General features: G+C 37.0%; 1 protein-coding gene across 11 annotated transcripts in view; it reads right to left on the reverse strand.

Annotated features, from left to right (window-relative positions):
• TRPC4 (transient receptor potential cation channel subfamily C member 4) overlaps positions 1 to 19,071 on the reverse strand; it is a 237,710-nt gene that overhangs the window by 47,687 nt on the left and 170,952 nt on the right. For 6 of the 11 annotated variants that reach the window (NM_001135958.3, NM_001135956.3, NM_001135957.3 and 3 more), the window contains one exon: positions 12,250 to 12,586. The exons of 1 other annotated variant lie outside the window; for it this stretch is intronic. In NM_001135958.3, the coding sequence (NP_001129430.1) occupies positions 12,250 to 12,586 (337 nt within the window). Of the gene's footprint in view, positions 1 to 12,249; positions 12,587 to 19,071 lie in introns of those variants that run through there. 4 more of the 11 variants (NM_001372055.1, NM_001354799.2, XM_011535206.2 and 1 more) reach the window with 4 other exon arrangements.

The following is a 19,071-nucleotide window of genomic DNA, read 5'->3' on the forward strand; positions in this document are numbered from 1 at the left end:
AGATAGAATTGGGACATAATTGGGAAAATGATAATAATATTTACTACCTCCATATTGGAGAAAGGAGTATATCAGAACTAAGTAAGATATGATGCCTGCACTGCATTTTAGAGCTGGTGGGAAACTTAGAATTTAAAATATCCAGTGCGAAAAAATGCTTGGCACACATTTTTTTCCATACCTATGGTGCTTTCTCCTACTAACCTGGCTACAGACGCAGAATTCAATAGACAACCACAGCCTGCATGAGAAAACTAAGGCCCAAAGAGGCAGCGTAAACAAGAATGTGATGCCACCAGTTAATGAAGAAAGCACGACTGGATCAGAATCTCCTAAATGCAGTGCACTTGGACAACATTTTCTTATTCCTGAGAGTTTACAAGGCACAGAGTTATGTGCTTCAGAAGACAGAATGAGGACTTTGGGAAGGAGGTATAAAGAAGAAGTTATGAGCTTGGTACAATGTTGCTTATTTGTTTTGTCTTGCTTGACACTGCCAATTCCCAGATATTAGATATGTGCATGCAATCATTGATTTAGCAAATGCATTTCAAGTTAATTTTTCACCAGAAGGCATAGTGATAAGAGCTAGTCTACGTTAGGTGATCAAGCGGCCAGGCTCAACTCAACGAGCAATCAGCTTTAGAATCTTAGCTTAGCCTCTCTAGGTTTCCGTTCACTTCAAAAAACAGAGGTTTGGATTACATGGCTTTTACAAAGTATGATTTTATCCTAACTGCATAAATTGCCAACGATTGCTTCTTCCTATTAGGATTGTGACAATTTTACCAAAAGCAGTCATCACAATCGCTGCCATGAGAGATGAAAAACTGCCCTGTACAAGAGGGCACAGACTTGCTCTGGTCTGCCCCACAAAGCAGAAATTGGATCTTTGATAAGAAAAGCATAGAAAGGCAGCTTCTTGCCAAATGTAAGGAAGAATATTCTGGCAATTAGAGTTGCTCTAAAACTGGAATGGATTACCCTGTGACATAGAGATTCCAATCCAGAGGCTGTCTTTAAGCCAGAGAAATTCTAGCAGCGAGTGGAGACTGATCTACGTAATCTTTAAAGTTCATTCCAACTTAATGAATTTATAATTCGGTTGCTTTCAGATTTGTATGTATCATGAAATAAAATATATTTTAAAGTACTTGCTAACCAGAGCATTTATATTTCATTATGTCTGACAGATAAACTTTATTATCTTTATACCTGCTGCTACTAAACTGGAAAGTCAAATGTGATTATTAACAGTCATCGAAATAGCGAAATTCAAATATTTTGTGAGGATTTACATAAAGGAAGAAAGGCTTTGGGAAGGAGGTATAAAGAAGAAGTTATGAGCTCAGTACAAGTCAACATTTTATTTCGACTTCCTTCATAGCTGAGCAGACTCTGTTCTCGTCCGATGGGTTAAAGGAGATGAAACTTCAACTGTAAGTTTAGACTAGATGACCTCTAAGCAAAACTCACAATGCTGATATATTACAATTCCTCTGGAGATCAAGGAGGAGACATTAAATCTGATTTTCTTGACCACCCAAAATCTTACTTCACTTCTGACCTTTGAAAGGCACAAATGTGTGGGAAAAACAGAGATCCTGATAAAACTGGAAACTCATGTCATCATTTTGTTTAAACTTGAGCTATAGATAAGATTGCCAATCAATGTCTGTTGGCTAATGTGGTAATGTGTTGGTATCTTTTTTTTTTGTTATTGTTCCAGATTGAATATCACTTTTTATAGTTCTAGTCACCACATACCTGTCAGATGACTGTGGATTTATGTTTGTTATAAGCATGGTAGCGAAATGGCCAGTTTCATTTATTCTGGCAACATTTACTGAATTTTTGAAGAAACAAGCCTTTAGAAAAACCAGAGGGTGCTATTAACTAAATAAAAAACGAATTCAGCTAGTAAATTATCCATGGTAACTAAAAAGCCTGAAGAGAACAAAGATTAAGACAGCTTCTGTCACAAAATGTTTATCCTGTTCCCGCAATGGGAACATTTCGAAATTGCTCTTTGCTGTTTATAAACAGAAGACATGATTTCTCAGAGTCGTGATGGAGGCCTAATTACAAGCATTGATGTCAAGACTGTGGGGACCAACAAAGGAAAGATCACAGTGCAAATGAGTCAGAGAACTTCCTTTTAAAAATATTTGTAGATGTCTGGAAGTTTTTACTATTTTTTTCTACCTTTCCCATAACAGTTTTCACTCAGGGCTATTTGAATGTTCTATTATGTCCTGCGAAGCTGGCTGTGAGGATGTGATGGGGTAGGCAATGCTCAGATGCCACATTTAACAGCACCAATTACATGTGACAAATGTGTAACTCTGCAAATAGATCTCCTGTCATTCCCTTTCTTACTGTCCGTACTTACACCAATAGTAAACAACCCCAAACAAAAAGCAAGTCACCTTTTCACCTATGGCAACCTCCAGGGGTCTCTTATTTAAGCCGCAAAGCTGTCGGGGGCCTGACCTTGGAAGTCTCTTCACAGAACACTGAGCTTTATGTTGTGGTATCAAATCAATGAAGATAAAAGAACACAAAAATTTCCTCCCTGCTGGAGTTTTGTATTGTTTTGTTTTTTGATTTTCAAATCAGGGAATATAAAAGTAGTCTCTCATCAAAAATCTGCTTCTGTTCAAAGATAAATTTAAAGGAAGTCTTTTATTCAGTAGAAACCCACTTGTTCTGGACCTCTAAGAGGCACTCAGTTAAGGGGCAGCTCCTGTTCTCAGCAGTATACTTAAAACTCAAACAAAGATGAGGACAAGGACCCCAAGCATCCATGTTCTGAAAAGAGTTTACAGAAAATTGTAGCCAAACTTTTCCTTCCAGGGCCTACTAGGAGGCATCAGGACCCTATCTGTTCCCAACCACCTAGCCCTCTCCTTCCGTAATCTGTAACAGAGGTAGACCTGGGGAGACAGATAGCGAGAGAGCCATGAGGTCAGGGAGTGCAAGGTTTCTGTTTTGTTTTTGTCGTTGTTGTTATTTTTTAGAGACAGAGTCTCACCCTGTTTCCCAGGCTGCAGTGTAGTGGTGCATTATATCTCACTGCATCCTCAAACTCCTGAGCTCATGCAATGCTCCCACCTCAGCCTCCTGGGTAGAGGAGCAAGGACTAGAGGCACATGTTACCATGCCCAGCTATCTTTTTTTTTTTTTTTTTTTTTTGGTAGAAAAGAAATCTCTCTATGTTGGCCAGGCTGGTCTTGAACTCCTGGCATCAAGCAATCTCCCCACCTTGGCCTTCCAAGGAGGGAGCTTGGATTACAGGCGTCGGCAGCCCAGCCAGGACAGTGCAGTTTTTGTGCTAAAAGGGAATACCAGAAGGACAGGTAAGGGTGTTTCCTCACCAATACTACTGCCTCCCTAAGTCAAGTCTAAGGGAGACTCCAAGAAAATCCCTCATAAAGTCTGGGAGTTTCTACAAGGAGGAACTACTACCTCACCCCTGCTGGGGCATCTGTTTGGGCAGGTGGCTTGCTCATCTCCCCCTGGGTTCAGCTCATCACAGAAAATGGAAAACAGTGAGGTTTGGCCATAGGGTAGCCCATGGCAGTCTGGCCTTCTGTCTTTTAATGTGGTAAGGTTCTGTGATGCTGTTGTGAGGTAAGTGCATATTAGAAGAAAAGGCTGGGTTTGAGCCTTCTTGCCAGGACTCAAGAGGGATTTGTTAGGGTTCCAGGACCTCGTTAGGGATTGACTGCTGGTTACAGGAGTGGAGGGACTGGAAGACTCCTGGAAGAGTTGAATCTCTGACTCAGAGAACTATGCAGTGTGGAGGCACAACAGGGCTCTCAAAGAACAGCCGTGCACCCCTCAGGAGGGTCAGCATCACACAGGTGGCTCAGTAATAGCCAGAGAGGCAGGACAACCAACCAAGAAAGAGCTCTGACCAGGGTGCCAGGTAAGTCAGGACATTTAGCTTCTCCCATTCCCCATCGTCCCTAAAGCAACAGGAGTGAGGAAGCATGAAGAGCCTATATCCCACCTTGAATTCCAGTGTTGGAGTTAAAGGATGTGTAAGAGATGGACAATTCCAGATCCTTCAAGCCATGGGTCAGGCCTTTATTGGGAAGAGAAGATCTTTAAGCTTATAAAATTTGAGTTTTAAACTGAACATAGCCTACTTTTAAATAACTTGAAATTTCAGAAAATTTATGATAACCGATAGTGATATCATTCGGGAACAAGGAAAGGATATTTGATATAAGGTGGCCAAGGAGAGTGATAGAAAGAAGTAAAACCATTTCATGTCTAGATTCAAATATGTTGAAGATCCTTAATAAAACCATTATATGATTATGAAATTTGACTTCCAGAATTGTTTCTCAGTCTTTAATGTTTAAAATACTTTTGGAATTTCTAAATCAGCCAACCATAATCTGAATTTGTCATAAGAATCTACAGTAACCATAATTTTAGTCAGCAGACCATACTTCAAAAAACACTGACATAAAGAGACAGTGAATGTTAAATATTCTTAGTTGGAAGGCATCTAAAAATGCTTAAACCACTATGGGTTTTGACACCATTATTTTAACATTTTGAGAAAAAAAACTAGGAATATATAATTAAGGAAGTACACATTTTTAAGTTTACCAAGAAAGGATGCCATGTTAGTTTCAGAGTAAGAGTGAAGTGTAGAACTTTAGAATTCCAGATCATCTGATAGCTTATCACCTAAAAATAGTTACTTAAAAATCAAGTGAGACATTTTATCAGTGTAGGAGCATTCTTTTTATAGGATTCTAATTTAATTTAAAATTTTCCATGAAAACTAAGAAGTAGAATGCTTATGTAGATAGGAAGACAAGGAATAAATATTTCTCCAATTCCTTGTTCATTACCTTTTCAATAAGCAGCAGAAGTTGCCTAATATATAGTTTCGAATAAGTGAATATTAATATTTTCACTATGAAAATTACCACCTTCCACTTAATACAAACTTCTGAACATTTTAAAAATAAATATGCACAAAGAAATATATTTATTTCTTTCGATTTTCCTGAGTACCCCTTACACACACACACACACACACACACACACACACACACACACACAGAAATTTAAAAAATAATAATGTCCTTGAAGAAAATAAATTTAACTTTAGAACATAGCAACTAATACATGGAAAGCAAAAAAGGAAACATCTCTAGGTCATATCAAAGGACTTATTCTTTCTTTCTTGGAATGGATTGCTTCTTTTAGTGCTAGAAAGTCACACATAATATGTTTTAGATTAGAAAAAAGGCAGTGATGATACTGGTGGTGATGTGAGGGTGGTGGTAGTGGTGAGTTTGGTATGTTGGTAAACATAATATTCAATAGTAAATCATATCAAATGTGCATCTTAAAGAGCATTACACCTTTAATGAAGCAGAAACATGGTCCATTCAAATTTCACCTGTGTAAAAATCTAAGCCGGCAAATAGAAGCGAAGAAGTCTTAAGTACGGACACACGTTCTGAGCTGTTTTTGCCTTTTCAAATTCTACCTCTCACACTTTTGGGTGAGTGTCTCAGAAAGGATAAAGAATCTAGATCTAGACTTACATTGACTGGAATTTGAATCTAGTATCACTTGTTAGCTCCTTGATCCCTTGATCCCTGCAAGGAATGTAAATTCTCTAAGCCTGTTTCCTCTCTGTGAAATGAGACATTAACATCATTTATTATGATTAAGTGGAACAGAGTTACTGTGAAGTTCGAACAAAAGAATGCATTTAAATTACTCAGCACAGTGCCTAATTTTTTCAGTTTCTACTATTATTACTACGATTACTACTACTACTATTGTTACTCTGTGCTAATGAAGACTAATTCAAGAATCTCATTTTTTTTTTTAACTTTGACTCTTTCTTTCTTGGTATCTACTCCTCTTTTCCTGTCTTTTCCCCTCTTCCCTTGAACCATCTAAACCATGTTTTCAAACATTCTCTGAAGGCCTGTAAATTTCAATTTTTGTGTATCAAATTTATATTGCACTGTCATGGCCTAAAAAGAGTTCATTTCCCTCCAATAAAGAAATCATGTGTTCAGCATTAATAGGGGCACACACAATAACTGAAATCTTCATTAATATCTCATTGTTTGAGATATTACTGCATTAGTCTTTATAATTCCATGAAGATGATGTTAAAATATTTTTTCCCACTGATAAATAGTAAAATGAGGGTCATATGTCGCACTGTACTATCTGATTTCCTCAAAAATTAAAATATCCATTTTAAATTAATAAATGGGTAGTCTGCAGCTTGTGTTTGAGGGTCTGTGTGTGTCTGAAGCTAGTTTGCTAAGATTATTTGAGCACCACGACAAGGGAGGAGCTGGGGAAAGTAATACGAATATTTCTTATAATTGTGAGAATATTGTTTGGAGCTGCTTGAGGGGATGGGAAATTCAGCGGTGAGGCTGAAAATATGAAGCCATTTGATCTTAATGACTTTAGACAAAAGATGAAAAAATGGTCACAAGACAGGAAGAATTATATATATACGCACACACACGTATATATACACACGTGTGTATATGTGTCTATATGTATACATACATATATATGTATGTGTATATATGTGTCTGTATGTACCTATATACACATAACTGATTATACATATATGTGTAAAAACCATAACTGGTTATACGTATACGTGTGTGTGTGTGTGTGTATACACACACATATATATACATATATATACATCCATATAGTATTATTTGACTCTATGAATATTTATCTAGATGAAAATGTTATCACCAACTTTTCATTCTACATCTTCAATTTGGTAGGCCTTGTTGAAATGTTCAGATTTGTTAATATCCACCTTTTAAAACATAAAAATGTAAAATAAATTATGGAAATGAGAAACCAATCTTGTTTAAAAATTTGCTAAATAAAGTGTTATAGGCAAGTTGCATAATCTGGCTATTATGAGCAATTCTTACTTTATGCCTAGGAATTCAATAGAAGCTATTTTTAACAGAGCTTAGACCTCCTCCTATGTTACATCTTTTCCTCAGTTCACCTTTCTCCTCATGCTCAGTGTGCATAGATTTGCATACTGTTTAATTGTGGCATAATCTGGGGCATGCTCACAATGTCACGTCGCTTCAGCAGCCATTTTGTTTTCTCATAGGAGCAAAGTATTTCCTGCTGTATTCATATGATAGCCTTCATTAAAGTTCTTTCTTTCTTTTCTTTTCTTTTTTTTTTGAGATGGAGTCTTGCTCTGTCACCTACACTGGAGTGCAGTGGCACAATCTCGGCTCACTGCAACCTCTGCCTCCCAGGTTCAAGCGATTCTCCTGTCTCAGCCTCCCGAGTAGCTGGGACTACATGTGCCTGCCACCATGCCTGGCTGATTTTTGTATTTTTAGTAGAGACAGGGTTTCACTATGTTGGCCAGTATGGTCTCGAACCCCTGACCTCGTGATCCACCCACCTCAGCCTCCCAAAGTGCTGGGATTATAGGTGTGAGCCACCACACCCAGCCCAAAGTTCTACTTCTTTCATGAAAAGTGTTATCCATTTTATAATTTATTTTACTAAGCTAATTACATAAGTCTACATCTGGAAATTTTACAGATGTCCATACTTTTTTGTGCAAAGGGATAATTTATAGCAAAATTTGTTTGTTACAATCGGAGTTAGAATGAATTCTGAGGGAAAATTCAAACTGGGTTTCAGGAAGGCCTGACAACCAGCATTCAAAAGTTTGTTTTTCCCATATCTTACTACGTATTATCTTCAGAAACAAATGCCTCTCTTTGAGATAAAACTCTTGCCATAATTTTGATGAATTCTCATAATGCACATTACACATATAACATGCTCTAGTTTTCATGTAATTTTTTAATAAAAATAAATTTATCATATTCTATTCATTGCATATTCCCAGTATATTAAAAATCAAACCCTAAATAAGTTAAGAGCCTCAGAGTCATGGAGAACGTAAAAGTACCCAAGTCTCTGATCTTCTAGCCTCGAGCTCTTTCTAATCCATCATTCAGTCTTTCCAATGAAACTTTTTCTCCAGACACCCGAAAAGTATAGCTCTGTTATCAGGCCCATAGGAATGCTTGATCAAACAACTGTTTTACTTTTTACTCTAGTTTAAGTGGGTAATTTGACAGCCTGAGAAGGATATTGGTGTCCATCTGTCTGGAATTTACTCATCTATTGAGAGTTCTAACAGAATTATCCATGATTAGTTTTCTGCATTAGTTAGAACTGTATCACAATGACAAGCATCATAAGTTTGGTCCCTGTAAAGCTTTTTGGCTTTCTTTCTTATATAATAAAGTTCATCCTGACAGCAAATATGTGCAAGAAGATCTCTTGAGGCTGTTTGATGGCAGAAAGGAAAAGTCGATAACCTTCAAATACAAGCAAGTCTGAAGTAAAAATAATTCTGAAAGCTTTGTTGGGCGGTGAGTTCCAACTTATTGCTGACACCGTGGCAGAGGGATAGAAGAGCGATTATGAACTGCTTTCTAAAGATGTAAAACACAATAGATTTAAATAGTCAACAATGTTGAACTTCAACAAGAAAGATACTGAAATAACAGAAACCTTATTCTGCCATTGTACTGAAACACAAGACAACTGGTTCTATGAGGCTGAATACAGTTCTTATTGCTGAAACACTGCAAGATATATAAAATAATGGAAATTCCCAAGCAAAACCATAATTCTTAAGAAGAAAAAGAAATTGGTTTGAAAGGTTAGGCTTTAAAGTTAGAGAACTTTCCTACCTAGATAAACATGGACATTTATGATATAAATATATAAAACAAATAAGTCAAAAGTGTTTTGCTAGGATAAACAAATGAGAGGTATAAAGTGATCATTTCTCATACATCAAGAAATTATGAATGCGAGGAAGATCTTTTGAAAACGGAAGAAAAGTGAATTTAGTACAAATAAAAAAGTATTACTTTATACAACAAGCAGCTCACAGAGGTGATCTGGTTTGAAAATCTAAGTCAGTTCAAGAAGACTTGAGAAAAAACCATAAACAGAGTTCCAGTCTACCACTGAGACAATTAACATGATGAGGGGACACACTTATAAGCCACATCATTTCCGTAAGTCATTCAGTCTTGATGTTATAAATCTAGAACCTTGCAAACAATGAACTATGAAATGTTCTGCTAAGGGACTCATGGCCACTTACTTTATCAGACAGCAGGACAGGACAAGAGAATAGAGGATTCATTAATATAGTCATCAAATCAGACTGTGCATTTTTATATATATTACGCTTCTGGTTAAAGATTAACGCATTCCTACTCTGATGTCTTTAGCCTGGCTCTCCCCTTCAACACTATACCTCCCCCGAAAGGATCAGTTTTCTCTGCCTTAATAATGGTAGCTTAGCAGACAGGATGATAGGATACAGGGGGACTTTAGATGTCATTCACTCTAAATCTTTCATTTTGTAGATGAAGACACTGAAAATCCTGAGAGCTTGTGACCACCCATAATTTAATAGTCTCCTAGTGGTAGAACCTGGGCATGGATTTAAGTCCAGTGCCTTTTGCAGAACAGCCCAACAACATAGCACACACCCCTTATAATCATGGATCTAGCAAGGCACTGAGAACTCAGTCTCGGATATGAGGCACTCACAATTCACCAGACTTGGTGAACAATATAATGGTTTGACAGATCTCTTTGATATATAAACATTTTTCCTCATGCCCCATTATTTCAGCAAGATGATCATTTGCACGCATTTTTTAATTCTAGGAAATCTCTTTTCATCCTAAAATTCTCAGAAAAATTAACTCCCTACAGTCAGGAAATCTTGAGACAATGTTGCCTATAGCAGATATTTTTCTAAGCTGGAATTATAATACTCACAAATAAATCTATACCTCATGTAATCATTTAGCTGTGGTTGGGTCTAGTTTCTTCCAGCCAACTTCCATGAAATATTCTGTTAGAAGCTTGGTGTGTAGCAGGCAGCCAATGACTGTTTTCACTGGACAAGTAATTAGAAGGTTGGACCTCCTATTTTTTAAATATTATTTACCATTTTATGACATTATATCACAAATCTATTTGTTTATTACCCATTTATCCCAGTAAAATTTAAGCTTCATTAGCAGAAGGGCTCTTTGTTGCCTTACTTTTGTATCACTATCATCCTTCACTGTGCATTCTGCCTGGAAAGTATTTGACACATTTTCATTGATGGTATCAAGGAAAGATTAGGACTACTCTATCTGCTTACATTTTATTGTATCTATAGTATTTTTCAAAATGAAATGTTCTGCGTTTGGGAAACTAGAATTTTTAGACATTCAATATAAGTTAGCCATTATGGAAAATGTAACATCCTAAACTCTTCTGTAAGAATTGTTCCAAAGACATTTTCTAAGAAGAAAATTCCTTTAAAAACATTCTTAATGAGATATATTTAATTTAAATGAAACAGGGGGGGTTATTTTACCTTTAATACCAACTGCAATGTGAAAATTATTTTATTCCAAAGGACACTTCGGACACTTATAGATTATGTGAGCCTTTTTAATTTTTCTTCTTTTCTTTCATTTTTTGAGGCAGAGTCTCACTTTGTCACCCAGGCTGGAGTGCAGTGGTGTAATCTTGGTTCACCGCAACCTCTGCCTCCCAGGCTCAAACTATTCTCCTGCCTCAGCATCCCAGGTAGCTGGGATTACAGGCTGTGGCCACCATGCCCAGCTAATTTTCACATTTTTAGTAGAGATGGGTGATACTCCAACTCCTGATCTCAAGCGATCCGCCCGCTTTGGCTTCCCAAAGTGCTGGGATTACAGGCATGAGTCACTGTGTCCTGCCCGGCCTGACCCTTTTTTCTAATTTAAACAAGATCACATTTTACCCACTTTAGATTAATGAGAACCTACTCTATTTTAAAGTTCACCTGAGGATTTTGTTTAGTTATATAAGTAAAACATCAAATCTTGTCCCTATTAACTTTTCTTATTGACAATACTTAAAGTATGGTTTTTATAATTTTTAAAACTGAAAAACATATTTATCTCAAATAGGCTGTCTTTTTTTTTTCTGCCTTGATGTCATTTTAGTTTCTTCAGCAGTTTTGAGAGTTAACCCAAACTGATATTCTGAGATTTTGAATCATGAAATTTGTCACATATTTTCTAATAGCCAAATGATGAGATAGATATTATAGCAGAGAGGTTTAAAATAATGAGCTAAATTGAGAAAATGTGATTTCTCAGCAAACCATAGTATGATAGAGAAAAGGATAATTAAAATGCAAATTTTAACCATGGCTATAATAACAAGGAGAAAGGAAAACAAGGTTTTCACTAGCTACATTTTTTTCCTTTCTTTTTTTTTGAGACAGAGTCTCACTCTGTCGCCCAGGCTGGACTACAGTGGCGTGATCTGGGATCACTGCAAGCTCCGCCTCCCGGGTTCACGTCATTCTCCTGCCTCAGCCTCCCGAGTAGCTGGGACTACAGGCGCCCGCCACCACGCCCGGCTAATTTCTTTTTGAATTTTTAGTAGAGACGGGGTTTCACCGTGTTAGCTAGGATGGCTACGATCTCCTGACCTCGTGATCCGCCCGCCTCGGCCTCCCAAAGTGCTGGGATTACAGGCATGAGCCACTGCACCCGGCGGGAAAACAAGATTTTCACTAGCTACTTTAAGGTTTTCTACTTCACAGTGATTTGCTTCAGACCCAATACAACTTTCTATGACAAGAACAAAAAGAGAGTGGCGGATATCCTGTTGTTTAATTTCCTGTTATTTTAAATTAATATAGATTTCAAAGATAAATTTGAATGGATTGATTTTTTCAAAAGGTTTCAGTTACTTTATGTATAGAATCACTAATTCTTCAGAGTAATCTGCATGTACTTTTAGAAGACTTATCTATTAGGAATATTAGAATGATTATTTACATATAGTCAATGAGATATGTTGAAAAGTTTTAATAAACAAAAAACTCAGAGGGTCAGTCGTGGAATATGAAGTCATTAAAATCTGTAATTCTAAAATTTAAGGTTACGTTTCTTAAGCTGATTTTGTAAGCGGGTCCACCGCAGCTTGTAAAATAGTTGTTTGGCTTTGGGGGTGAGGTTCTTGGAGCTACAATAGTCAGAACCTATTCTAAACATTCCTAGGTCCCAAACATTAATGAATATTTTCTGAGCAACGAAATTCCGTGGCAGTAACATGTTTTTATTATATTTTCTATAGTAACACATTTACCCAGGACCCACGGTAATATCATCCACTCGACGATGGTTGGTGGTGGACCTTGCCTGTTCAAGTCTGACCTGTCGATGTGCTGAGAGGCAAGCAGCAGCAGGAACAAAAAAGTCAAATAGGAGGCTGTGTGGCAGATAAACTTGATAAATGGCTTCCTGATGAACAGTCCAAGTGGGCTTTTGGGAGCTATCAGGTAGCACACAGAGAAGACAGGAAAAAGAAGTCCTATTATGAAACATGTCACCATCTTCACTGCCCAGTGTCTTCTCCTCCAGCCTGGAAACTCATCGTACCAGCGAGATGCCAGCAGCTGTTGACAATTGGGCTGGGCAACAAACTAAACAGAAGGGAAAGGAAAAGGAAAAATAAGTCACAGTTACATGGAGTGGCCTCAATTCATCAATAAGAACACAATTGTGATCTTTAAAGACAGAAATTCTGTTTCACATAATTTTACATTTAAACAATCAAAAGGCTTTAAGTCATTCTGTGAATAAAGCCAATGTATTGAATATTTATTCTACCCAAGGCACAGTATGACATGCTTAGTGAGACATAACTGAAGTCAAAATACTGTGGCTGCACTTGAGGAAGCAAAAATAGAACTGGGGAATACGAATATGCAAAAGATACGCTGATAAGTGAACAAAGCAGTTTATAAAGATACACACCTATATACACATATATAAGAATATATAAGTGTGGCTCTTTTTTGATATAGTTGTTATCTCTTGGTTACAACATTACACTTAATTTTTATTTTTATATTTGTGTGTACTTTTAACAATTTTCTATAATAGATATTTATTACTTTCATCATCAGGAAAAGCAAATGAACTTTTCTTTATGAGGTACAAGCTAAATATACTTTTAATTGGGTTGAGGCAATATGAAAAACAGATGAAAGAAAGTAGTATTCACCAGAATGTTAATCATCATAGCTTAATTCGGTATAAACAATGCAAACACCTTACCTAAGTATACCTAATTGCCTTATACAAAACATTTCACAGACATGGCATCATTCTATCCTGACAACATTTTTGTGATGTAGCATGGACACTACTTACTGTATGTTAAGGTTACATATCTATCAAATTATGAGATGTTTGAATATCTGGTCCAGGATTTTTTTCTCAATATCTCTTTTTTTCTCAGTATTTCTCAGATTTTTTTTCTCAACCTTTCTCATTGGGATTGTCAGTTAAGCAATATATGAATTAAGAGAAAATTGTATCTTTCAGATGGAACAGTTCAAGAATGCTTCCACCGGGACATATTTGTATAAGTAGAAAAAGAAGATGAGGGTAATCCACGGCAAGATACCTTGGGAGAACAAGAGCATAACCTGGTGAGAAAGTGTACAGTGGGATTAAACGATGCCCTATGGACAGTTCTGATTGAAGGAGAAGTGTAAGTTCCTTGTAAGAGACTTGGAGAAGTTCTGTTGACATCATAAAATAGGCTTACTCTATAAGCAAACTTAGTGCTTGTTCCTTTTACAGGACTCTCCACCCAACTCCACATTTCCCATCTTTCTTCTTTAGTTCTAAGCCATATGGCTGTCCTTGAAGCAAGACTTTTTCCTTTCTTTTTTCTGATGGTAAGCAAGCAAGCAGTCTCTGGATATGCAGAAAGGATGCTGTGTTTGGGGATGAAGAAAGAGATGAGGTGACATTCAAAGAGTAATCCAATAGTTGAGGTGTTCAACCATTTGGATTAGATGAACAATGGTTTTTCATGCAACTGTTTCTCTTCATCTTGTCTTGCATATCTACTCATCAATATATATAGTGGGCAAATAAATATGCAAACAATTGAATTAAGTTTATAATAATGGGTTCAGTAAATACAGATAAAACCAGATAAAATAGTATGGTTTTAAGGCTGGGGTAGGGGGGACTATCCTCATTATCTTGTACGGCACTTACTTAAGGAAATTTCAAGCTCCATGAACAGTCAAGCTAAATTTTATTCTAGACAAAGCCAGGTATTTGAAAGTCAAAATAGAGTTTTTGCTTATATAACTGTAGAGTATTGATAAACAGTGGTTTAGATCATTAACAAGCACTGTTCTCTTTAAGAGTTTTATTTTTTCCCCGTATAATCCTTCCCATCAGAATTTGATAAAGAAATCATAGTCTACTATTTTCCTTTTTTTAATTCCCCATGGAATAAAATATTTTTAATAGTATTAAACTTTAGGACAGCTGAAAAGTCTTGATAAAAGAGAGTTAAGAAAACCTATGGGAAATGCAAGATATAACAAGCAGTTGCCATCATCTTATCAGTAGTCACACATTGACAAAACACTGTAAGGGACTAAGTACTAAGTAACTCATTCCGTGCATGCAGAACGAGTAAAAGAAAGTTATGTACTTTGTTCACTACAGTCTAAGTGAGGTCTTGGATTCAAACTCTGTTCTTCCTGGTCAAATCTCACTACAGCATGGGGCACCTGAGGACAATCAAAGAACTTTCTTAGGAGAATTTAAGGTTTGTTTGAATTAATATTTTTGTTGCTGGATACACACATATATACTCTGTAAAATTACCTAAAAAAAAGCAAGGAATTTAATCCTCATAGAAAAGTTGCCATTGCAAAGTGCTAGGTTAGCCATGATTTTTTATTTATTTTTTTTCTTAAAAGTACTTTTTCTTTCTTTAGTTATTGAAAGTATATACCTGTGCTTAGTAAATGAACAGTATACGTAATTTTACGTTAAACACAGACACAGGGAGGTTTTTGCAGAAGTAAAAATTATGGAGAGGACTAAGAAGAGCAGGAGTGAGTGTGTGTAATACACAAAGTTCCCCAAATGTGGATGTTATTTGGCTATGTATTTGATCCAATCATAGGATTGAAATAACCCAAAAAGTATTCTGAGAATCATTGTAAATCCACATATTCTCGTGGTAATTTCATGTCTCCTTTCGACCAAACATGCTCTTTACTTGTCTACACCAGCATTCCCTAAATTGTATCCCAGTAATTAATAGATTTTCCATGCAAAAATGGGTTCGGTGGTTAAATCAGTTATCAAATTAAGGATTGAAATAATTAAAATTTTATATTATGGGATTTTTCAGTCTTTAATTTGTAACATAGATTAAATCACTTCAATTATCTCTTGCCTCTCTTTCCCTCCCTGCCTGACTACCTCCCTCTCTTCCTTCTTCCCTTCTTTCCTTCCTTCCTTCCTCCCACCCTCACTCCCTTCCTCTCCCTGTGTCTTTTTCTCTCTGTTGCCTCCCTCACTGTTTACTTAGATTACTTGGAGTAATGCTCAGCTTTACTCCAACTCCCTCTGAAGGACACCCTCAGTGAGGGGCCACCTGATTCTTTGACAGTGGCCACCAGTACATTCCAGCAATGCCCTCTCCAGGTGGACCATCACATTGCCTGCAGTGTGCTGGGAGCCTACAGCCCCCCTCCTACTCCATCTTTCTACTGCACCATGAGTCATAGGAGGAACTACCATCTTCCGCACCATTCCAGGACTGGGAGAAGCGAGGTTTGTTTTTAGACACAATTCATTACAGCCGTTCTTTCTCTAGAGTTGTTGGCCAATTCTAGCACAACTCCTGCCATCCCATTAAAATTCATATTAAAACACTAAAACTTTCAAATTCACATTTGTGCTGTGCACTTATAAAAGACGCTGTGAAAACAATTTTAAAGATGTCCCATCTCTTTCAATAAACTTTAAAAAGTTTGAAAAGTCTGATCTCATTATTATTTATAGAATCACTGAGTCATGGGATTCCAAATATTGAAGACACTATGAAAACTATTGAATCTAATCTCATTTTTACAAATAGAATAAGAGAGATCCAGTATCAATGATTTAAAATTAACTACTCGAAACATGAAAACTCCAAGCCACAATGGCAACAAAGAAAAGAATTACAAAAAGGAGGCTAAATCTGGAAAGTATATAAAAACAAAACAAAACCAAATAAACAAGAAACTTCACTACATTGTATTAGTCAGTTTTTATACCGCTGATAAAGACATACCCGAAACTGGGCACTTTACAGAAGAGGTTTAATGGACTCACAGTCCCATGTGGCTGGGGAGGTCTCACAGTTGTGGTGGTAGGTAAGAGGCACATCTCACATGATGGCAGACAAAAGAAGAGCGCTTGTGCAGGGAAACTCCCCTTTTTAAAACCATCAGATCTCATGAGACTTATTCACCATCATGAAAACAGCATGGGAAAGACCTGCCCCCATGATTCAATTATCTCCCACCGGGTCTCTCCCACAACATGTGGGAATTATGGGAGCTACAATTCAAGATGAGATTTGGGTGGGGACACAGCCAAACCATATCAACTATCTAGAAAAGTGAACTAAAACATTAATTGTACATGGACAAAGTAAGCAGAAAATAATTTAAAATATATAAAACAAATAAATCAAAAATAACTTTGAATCAGATTTACTGTCTTCATCTTTTCAGTTTTTCAACTTATTTTTCTAGTTTGAAAAATTGTACCCAAAGTTCAGACTGTAGTCATTCTCTATAGGAAGAAAATCCAAATTCTAGGAACAACCGTCCTGGCTACTTTATCTATCTTGACTGCGTCAGAGAGTCACAAGGAAGTCTCAGCTGACTGCCGGGTGATTATAAAGAGAGTTGAAACTTTGGATTGGCTGTATCATAGTGATTTACATAAGGGCAATCTGATTCCTTTGCTCTAAAAGGACCACAAATTCATATACATACCAGTATGCTCTGGGTATTACTGTGTATTCTTCAGCAATTCAAAAATAATCTGTATGGGGGAGGAGTTATTTCCTCTGTCCAGAATACTTTTCAAAAACTCATTTTATAATGTCGATAGCAGGGTCTAAGGATTATTTACAGGCAGAAGAACTTCAGGGAATTAACTTTTTCCATAGCTGAAACATCTTTTTTTTTTTTTTTTTAAATCTTTTATTTCATCTCCTACATCCCTCATGGTCACTAATGGCTTTTAAATGTCTCTGTCTCTCTCTGCTTCCTGGTGATACCTCTGGTCGTGCTCTTCATTAAACAATTCTTCTGGCCCCTCTGAGCATAGTCATATCACATGATTAATCAGACCCACCTACTTCATTAATCAAAACATTATTTTCACCTGCCTTTCCAGGGCAGGTGAAACACTAATTAAGCCAATAGCATTCAGCATCATATGTGAGTCAGACAGTGGCTAGATAAGTGAGGGGAGTGCCATGATCTGTAAGAACCACATAAATCTGTCTTCTGGGAACTCAAAATACATTGGGACTAATTATGTAACTGGATAACTTCATACAGAGCATTAGATAACTTGTTAAAAAGAGGTATAGGGTATATAAGAGTATGTCCGACATGAAATAAACTGAAAATTTAAGAAAGGAAGTGGAATTTGTTAGTTAAGCCTGAAATAACAGATAGATTTCGACAGTGACAGCTTCGTAAGTGAATGTGTTTTATGTTAGATTAAAAGAATTTCATGTTAAAAACACAGGGATAGAGATAAGTGTGCTCAGATGAGAAATCTCTTGTGCTAGAAGGTTGTAACCAATTGTAGTTATAGTAGAGATGAAATGTAAAGGAAAACTGTGGCCATATTTTGGGATATGTATGAAAATGTTTGTTGAGGACATGCTTGAGTCTAAATTGTTGCAACTCAAATTGTGGGCTGAGTCCAGTAACATTGAAATCAACAGGAAGGCTGTTAGAGATGGAGAATATCAGGCCCCACTTCAAATCTGCTGAATAAAAATCTGCATAGCATGATTCCTATGAATGTTAAAACTTGATAAACGCTGGTTTAAAGGATTTGATGTCTAACGAAATTACCTATAGCTCCATTGTATCTGATAAATATACAAAGAGTAGTTTTAATTCAGTGTAAATATATATTCCAATGTCTATAAAGTAAGAAATATACAGCTGACCTTGAAACTCTGGGAATGTCTGTGTGGGTATATGTGTATGTGTGTGAGCGTGCATGAGTTCTTGAGTGATAGGGACAAGCCATACAGTGGTGGTTCTCAAAATTGAGCAAGCAGCAGGATCACCTGGAGGCTGTTAAAACACATGAGCCCCACCCCAGTATCTGATTCAGTAGGTACAAGGTGAGGCCCTAAACTCTGCATTTTTGCCCAGTTCTCAAGGTTACTCCAAGGACTAACCTTTTTTTTTTTGAGTGGGAATCTCACTCTGTTGCCCAGGCTGGAGTGCAGCAGCGCAATCTCAGCTCATTGCAAGCTCTGCCTCCCGGGTTCTTGCCATTCTCCTGTCTCAGCCTCCCGAGGTAGCTGGGACTACAGGTGCCCGCCACCACACCCAACTAATTTTTTGTATTTTTAGTAGAGTCAGGGTTTCACTGTGTGAGCCAGGATGGTCTCGATCTCCTGACCTCGTGATCCGCCTGCCTCAGCCTCACAAAGTGCTGGGAGGACTAACTTTTAATAACCACTGCCTTACAGAAATACCTTTGAATAATGTGGGACAGTCTTCTAGTTTTTCTAATGTTTTCTATTTTCCTATTTTTTGCTTTCCTCATTTAAAGTCAACCTTCTTATTAAGGTTATCAACAAGCAAATTTAGCTCAGTAAAGATTCCTTTAAAAGGAATTGCATAGAAGTCACACAAGCAGATATTCTATGGTGTAGTTTTAGTATAATATCTAATTACGGGAATAAACACAAAAATCTCAACAATAATCTCCACCAAATCACTGAACTCTTGTGCAAGTGGAAAAGCCGAACACAGTGTAATCGCAGGCAAAGGATGCTAGCTGGCTAATTCACCATTAAGCACGATGCCAATAGGGGACTTAAACC

The sequence above is a fragment of the Homo sapiens genome, chromosome 13 (genome assembly GCF_000001405.40).
Source record: "Homo sapiens chromosome 13, GRCh38.p14 Primary Assembly".
NCBI lineage: Eukaryota > Metazoa > Chordata > Mammalia > Primates > Hominidae > Homo > Homo sapiens.